Here is a 7,229-nt window from a genome sequence, read left to right on the forward strand (position 1 = left end):
ACAATGGAAAGAGACTCTTCCTGTCAGTCCTCAGGCCCCTGCTATGTGTATGTGCTCAATGAATGTCTTTAGGACAGGGGCGGGAAAAACAGAGGGTAGAAGATAGAACATTTGAAAAATAATAAAGAAGTACACAGAATAAACCAAAAGAACTTCCTGTAATCTATCCAGGTGGAAAGTCAATATTTTAATTTACTACAATGTGTGTGTGTGTGTGTGTGCGTGTGTACAAAAGGGGATAATGGGGTTAAAATAAAATCAACTCTTTTATATATACAAGAGCTGACCCTGGGATGTGGACAGGGTACCACTGTCCAGCCCAGTTCTTATATATACACACACTAGGGGATCATTCTGTTCATACACTTTCATATCATACTTTTTTACTTAATGTTATATAAACATTCTCCCATAAGGAAATAGTTCTGAAGACATGAATTTTTATTGCTGTGTAATATTCTATCGTTTCAATATACAATTACTCACTGGACACTGAGTTTGTTTCTCCTTTCTTGCTACTAAAACTACAATGGGGCACGAGTCCTTGTCTAAGTTCCTGAATGTTTCTGTGTGGTTGATTGCTGGAAGAGAAATTACTAGGCAAAATTTATCGACTTTTTGAAGAGTCTTCGGCTTATGTTTTGTTTTTTTTGTTGTCGTTGTTCTTCTTCGTGTTGTTGTTTTGTTTTTTGAGATGGAGTTGTCGCCTGGGCTGGAGTGCAATGGTGTGACCTCGGCTCACTGCAACCTCCACCTCCCCAGTTCCAGCAATTCTCCTGCCTCAGCCTCCCACGTAGCTGGGACTACAGGCACCGGCCACCATGCCTGGCTAATATTTGTATTTTTAGTAGAGACGGGGTTTCACAATGTTGGCCAGGCTGGTCTAGAACTCCTGACCTCAGTTGATCCACCCGCCTCCGCCCCCCAAAATGCTGGGATTACAGGCATGAGCCACAGCACCCGTCCAGTCTTGGGCTTACTGACAAAAAGGACGGATTTCTCTTTCTACCAGCTGCACCTGAGAGAACCTTTGTCCCTGTCTCCTTGTCTTCTATGAGAATTATAATTCCTTTTTTTGGCTGAAACTATTTAAAGGGACCTCAATAAACAATACAATACATTGGCAGGGAAAGCTAAGCTTGTGGTGAATACTCTCACACACTGAGACTGCAAACCGCAAGGACTGACTCTCACGGCGCCCTTGCCTGTTCACCCCCTTCTTTGTACTTATCTTCCCTCTGTAACTGCACCTGTTGTTACCACCTCCCATCCTACCTTGGAATTCCGTCCCAGACAACGTGTAACTTTGCTGCAATCAGGAGAGAGGCTCAGTCTCACTTTCCAGGAGGACCAGGGCTTACTCTCTGTCCACATTCCCTGGCTCCCTGAGCTATCTCAGCCTGAGGGTTAGATGCATTTATCCATGAGAAATTAGCCATATATCTTAATAAAACAGAAACAATTACATAACAGAGGAAGAGAAAGTGGGTTTTTCACATTTGATGAGGTAAACAGAAAAAAAGGGGAAGAAAGACCTAGGATGTATTCAGCACGTGCAGTTTTCTTTCCTAACAATATGTCTAATTTAATTCCAACAACAACCCTGATAGATAAATTGCAAAGATAGGAGCTCAAATATGGGCTTAGAGAAGGGACACCGTGGCCCGCAGTGACCCAGCTCATCACTGCCTGGTGCTGATGCTCCATGGAGTCCTAGCACAGCTGACACTGGGAGGCGGATAGGGCACCTCTGTCCAGCCTCGCCCAGCCCAGCCCTGTCTGCTCCACTTGGCCGTCCTACATCACACTCAGTAAGGTCAGTGTCTACAGAAACCCACACCAGCTTGTTCTCAAACAACAGCGACGCTTGGCCAAGTAGACACCACTGTGTGCAGCTTATTCTCGTCTCTGCTTGTTTCAGAAGTGCCGAGTAGAAGGAATAGTTAACTTCCCTAAAAATCCAGACAGCTTTATCCTTGTTGACAAAAACTACTTGTTTATAGCCAATGGTTGGTCCGATACTGTTGCTGGGAAACAGAAATCTATGAAGGGATCAGCAGGTGTTCAGTAAATATTTGCTGAGTGAATTAATGCATTAATTAATTCACCTTTCTACACCAAATATTCACAATGCAAGGAGGGGCCGGTTTGGCAGGCAGGGTGAGCGTTCCTTTTCTCATTGACCAGGTATTTCTAAATAGCAAATACTAGGTGTCTAGACTATAAATTTGGAAAAATGAAGTTTGAAAATTTATTAGAAAAAGATTTTTATTGATACATAATAGATGTGTATATTTGGGGGGATATATGTGATATTTTGTTATGTTCACATAATGTGTACAAATCAAATCAGGATAATTGGAATATCCATCACTTTTCTTAATTGGACTATCCATCGTTTATCTTTCCTTTATGCTAGGAAAAGAATTTATAAAACAGAAAACAGGATAATGGGGTTAAGATAAAATCCATTCTTATCTTCAGAAAACAAAAGGGGCTGCACACAAGAGATTTGCTAGAGCAAGCCTCTTAACAGAGACCTTTCCACTTCCTGCCGTGACACCTGCACGAGCCGCTCATTTGTCTCTGCCTCCAAGACTCCCTTGCTTTTAAACAACGTGTCAACAAAATGATCTTCCTCTAAGCCAGTGTGGGTATCATCACTCTCTTGCTGAAACAACAATCGGCAGCTTCCCAGGGCTGACCAAGTGACTTGAGATCCCCCCACCATCCCCATCCTCACAGTGTGCCAGGTGCTAGGCTTGGCGAGCAGGTAGGGGAGCTAGGCTGGTGTCTCTGTTCTGTAGGAACGGGAAGCCCACAGGGGACACACTCCAATGAGCCAACACTCAGGATAATGTGAAAAGTGCAGCTGAAGTGAATGCAGGGCTCAGGGGCCCAATGGGGTAGAAGTAGTGATCAATTCACCCTGGCTGAATAGGAGAGGGGGTTCACTATGAGGGGGAAGACAGGCTGGCTCTTCAAGGATCAAAGGATACCGCCAAGCAGATGACAAGGACGCTGCAGTGAGGACCTGGGGACTGGGCTGTGTTCCTGGCAGGAGAAATGGCTGAAGGAGCACCTGCATCTGAGGTCCACTGCAGCCCGAAAGCACCTGGTCCACTCACTGGGTCTGTCTTCTCTCCTCCTCCTCTGGAGCACCCAAGGGACCAGGACAACCTCCCTCTGTCCCGTGGGCACCCCAGGAAGCCTCCCTGTCTCCACAGCTGAGGCTTGGCTCTCCCTCCTTGGAATCCTCACAGGACTTTTCCTAATCTGTGCTGTGAAGCACATTCACAGTATCAGGCAATAGGAGCCACATCTAACGTGATGGTCAGTTTTGGTGGCCCCACGTTGTCCAGGACAGCCTTGGCCACTCCTGCTTGTCCCAGCAGAGTACTAAGAATGTACTCATTCACTCTCAGAGTCTGCTGGTGTGCACAATGTGCCATAAGACACCTCCCAGGTTCCCCAACACACACAAGCACTGCTGGAAGTACTTGGAGGGGGAGATGGCGGGAGCAGCACGGAGCCGACTCTGAGTCAGAATTTCAGATGGGCCAGGAGAACTCACAGAATGCCTCGATTTCCTCACCTGTAGAATGGCAGGATGGGCGAGGGAGGAATAAGTGTGTGTGTGTGTGTGTGTGTGTGTGTGTGTGTGTGTACACCAGTACTTTATACAAGCACATAGCAAAAAAATTCCTATATGGACTTTATCTGGTGTTACTTCCTTTTCTTTTTAATCTTTCATCCCTTGAAGTACCAAGCTTAGGGTCAGAGTGGAAAATGCAGAAGCCTTATATGAATTGAGTTCCCCATCATATGATGAATAGTTGCTTTCAGTGATTTCTACATATTCTTCAGAGAAGAAAAAAAGGAAAATAAACATGGTAGCCTTTCCAATGGGCACAGTGCCATTACCAGACACTGACAGACGAGACCCATCACAGTCATCACAGTCTGCTGTCCAGTATCTCCATCTCCATTAAAAAGACAATCTTATACACATATACATGTAAGCAACCTATGACTTCATCTCCCTGACACCTCCTAAAAGAACTAAACACATCACCCTTCTTGGTCACTTCCGGTTTATATACATTTATTTCTAAATTCATGTCCATCCTACGTATGCTGGTTTTGCAAATATTTATGACTGCAGCATCATGTGAGTATATACACCTCATTTTCGTTTGTCTGTTTTTTGGAGATAGGGTCTCACTCCGTCCCCCAGGCTGGAGTGCCCTGGCAGGATCCTAGCTCACTGCAGTCTCAAACTCCTGGGCTCAAGGGATCCTCCTGCCTCAGCCTCCCGAGTAGGTGAGCCTACAGGCATGCACCACTATGTCTGCTAATCTTTTTAATTTTTTGTAGAGATGGGGGTCTCGCTATGTTGCCCTGGCTGGTCTCAAACTCCTGGTCTCAAGAGATGCTCCTGCCTTGGCCCTCCTCACTCTTTGGAGAGTTTTACCCAATTGTCTGACAGTATTTATGCTAATTTAACCAGCCTTTCCTACTATGAGTATTTGCAGTTCTAAAGGATGCAATTAGAATCTCTGTAACAATCATGTAAATATTTTCGGAGGAAAATCCTCACAATGCAATTTCTGGGTTAAAAGTACGCGGTTTTTTTTATACTGGCCCCTTATGCACTCCTACACGACATTTTTCAGAAGCACATTTTCCCATATCCTTAGTAATGCTGGGTGAAAAGTGACTTATCCTTATGTCTCTCTAAGCATATCATTGATACTGACTGCCTCCCAATTACCACTATCCATGTATCTCTTAGAGTTTGCCTCTTGGGTCCTTCCCAGGACTGGCTCTCTGATGTCTTTGAAGCCCGGGAGTCCTTTTACTGCACTGGATCTTTACCCTTTGGCGTGAATATTGTCCCATCCATTCTTTACCCAATTTTTAGTTTAAACTCTGTTCTTCTTTAGTTTCTGGTCTATGATGTATTGAAAAAAAAAAAAGCCTCTCCTACTCTAGGATTATAACTTATATTCAAGATGTGGTCCAAATATTCCTTTATGTTTTCTCCCAAGTCCTTTTAAAATGCGCAAGCTTTTGCTCCATCAGATATTTCATACGTGGCATGAGATAGAAAACTGTGTCTAATGTTTTCACCCAACACCTTAAGTAGACTATCCCTTTGCCAAGGCTTGACGCACCATCTTTATTACCTGTCTAAATCCCCATGTATGAATGTGTCTGCTACAGAACTGTCTTTTCTCTTCCACTGATTCACTACATCATCTTGCTGTGACTGACCTGCCCTCGTTTCCAACTGCTTTTTAAATGCTTAAGGAAAGTCCTGTAATTCATCTTTTTCTCCCAAACTTTGTTATTCTCACCCATGTATTCTGTCACATGAACTTTATCAATTTATCAAGTTCTTGCCAAAAGTTATAATTCCAATTGGAATTTTATCTTACATGTTAATTTGGGAATGACTAGTATCTATACAAGCCTCCTCACCTTATCATTAGCCATTAGAGATTCTTTTTTTTTTTTTTTTTTTTTTTGAGACAGAGTCTCGCTATGGCGCCCAGGCGGGAGTGCAGTTGTAGGATCTCAGCACACTGCAACCTCCGCCTCCCGGGTTCAAGTGATTCTCCTGCCTCAGCCTCCTGAGTAGCTGGGATTACAGGCACGCACCAACACGCCAGGCCAATTTTTGTATTTTTAGTAGAGATGGTGTTTCACCATGTTGGTCAGGCTGGTCTCAAACTCCTGACCTCGTGATCCACCTGCCTCGGCCTCCCAAAGCGCTGGGATTACAGGTGTGAGCCACCGCGCCCAGCTGGAGTTTGTTTTCTCCTTGAAAATGGCACACATGAAATAGACAATACTCTTTTCTTCTGCCTCCCATCTCTACTCTTCCCACAGCCCCTAACACACCCCTCAGCTCTGCAGGAGAAAGATTTCAGGTAGGAGTTGAATCCCAGTTCCACGAAGGCTACATGCCTTGGAGCAATTTACTTAGTCTCTTTGAGTGTTCTACTGTGACTGATGGCTGTTGTTATTTAACCATACAATCTTTAACTTGCCCTAAATTGTAGGCTTTTGGCTACTGGTATATATTATTGTAAATATTTCTCAAGTCAGAATAATGCCAGAGTATAGCTAAGTGTTCACATAAAGGTTTCATTAGATCAATGGACAGTCTATGCCAGAGTGAAGAAAATCCAACATTGTGGGGAAGGTGAACATCATTAGTTTTTCTGTATGTTTTGTTACTCAGCAAAATGTAATCCGACAGCCTTAATAGGAAAAGGCCATTTTCTGTCATTATAGTGACTGTCTTCCCCATCTGCTGATCACCTCTCTTTATGAACACTTACCTTGCACCAGTTGCATTCCTACCAAGCAACTGACTCCAAGCTGTGATTAGATTGGTCACCAGAGATGAATGCAGATGCACACAAATATCAACAGCAATTTGTATGCTTTGAGCACTCGTCTCTAAGAAACTCATTTCAGATTTCTCTAAAACAAACTTCTTTCTCAACTCTCCCCGCTAAGTAGGAAAGAGAATGCATTTACTGATGGGGAAGGAAACTAGGGAAAAAGAATGAGACCACTCACCCCAAAACAAAGTCTTATGTACTTAATTCCCCTCCCAGTGTGACCAACATCGTGTCTCCCACTAAAACACCAGCCAAGCTTCACACAAACTAAAGAGAAGGAATTTTACACGGGGCGAGGTTTTCTGAGTGACGCATATAAAAATAGCACAATCTACATGCTCTTATCCATGCAATTGGGCATGGTTCAGGACACAGCGGTTGAGTATTTGAATTTGATATTAAAATCAAGCATGAAAATTCTCAGATATTTCACTTAAAAAATTAGATAGGCTGTATAAACATTTAACTAATTTTGTAACTCCCATGCCTTTTGGTTTTGTAATTTTTAAAAATTTAAACTATGCTTCCTTATTGAAATAAAGAGTTAATAACTACAGTGGAAATCGTTTTCAACTTAACTCATCAACAATAACAGAAAACTTTTTTTTTTTGAGACAGAGTCTTGCTCTGTTGCCCAGGCTGAGGTGCAATGGTGCCATCTCAGCTCACTGCAACCTCTGCCTCCTGGGTTCAAGCAATTCTCCTGCTTCAGCTTCCCGAGTACCTGGGATTACAGATGCCTGCCACCATGCCTGGCTAATTTTTGTATTTTTAGTAGAGACGAGGTTTCACCATGTTGGCCAGGCTGGTCTC

General features: G+C 43.5%; 1 protein-coding gene across 3 annotated transcripts in view; it reads right to left on the reverse strand.

Annotated features, from left to right (window-relative positions):
- The window catches only part of GABRB3 (gamma-aminobutyric acid type A receptor subunit beta3), a 230,212-nt gene that overhangs the window by 193,865 nt on the left and 29,118 nt on the right, over positions 1–7,229 (reverse strand). The window lies entirely within an intron of this gene.

Source organism: Homo sapiens, chromosome 15, assembly GCF_000001405.40.
Source record: "Homo sapiens chromosome 15, GRCh38.p14 Primary Assembly".
In the NCBI taxonomy this organism is placed as follows: domain Eukaryota; kingdom Metazoa; phylum Chordata; class Mammalia; order Primates; family Hominidae; genus Homo; species Homo sapiens.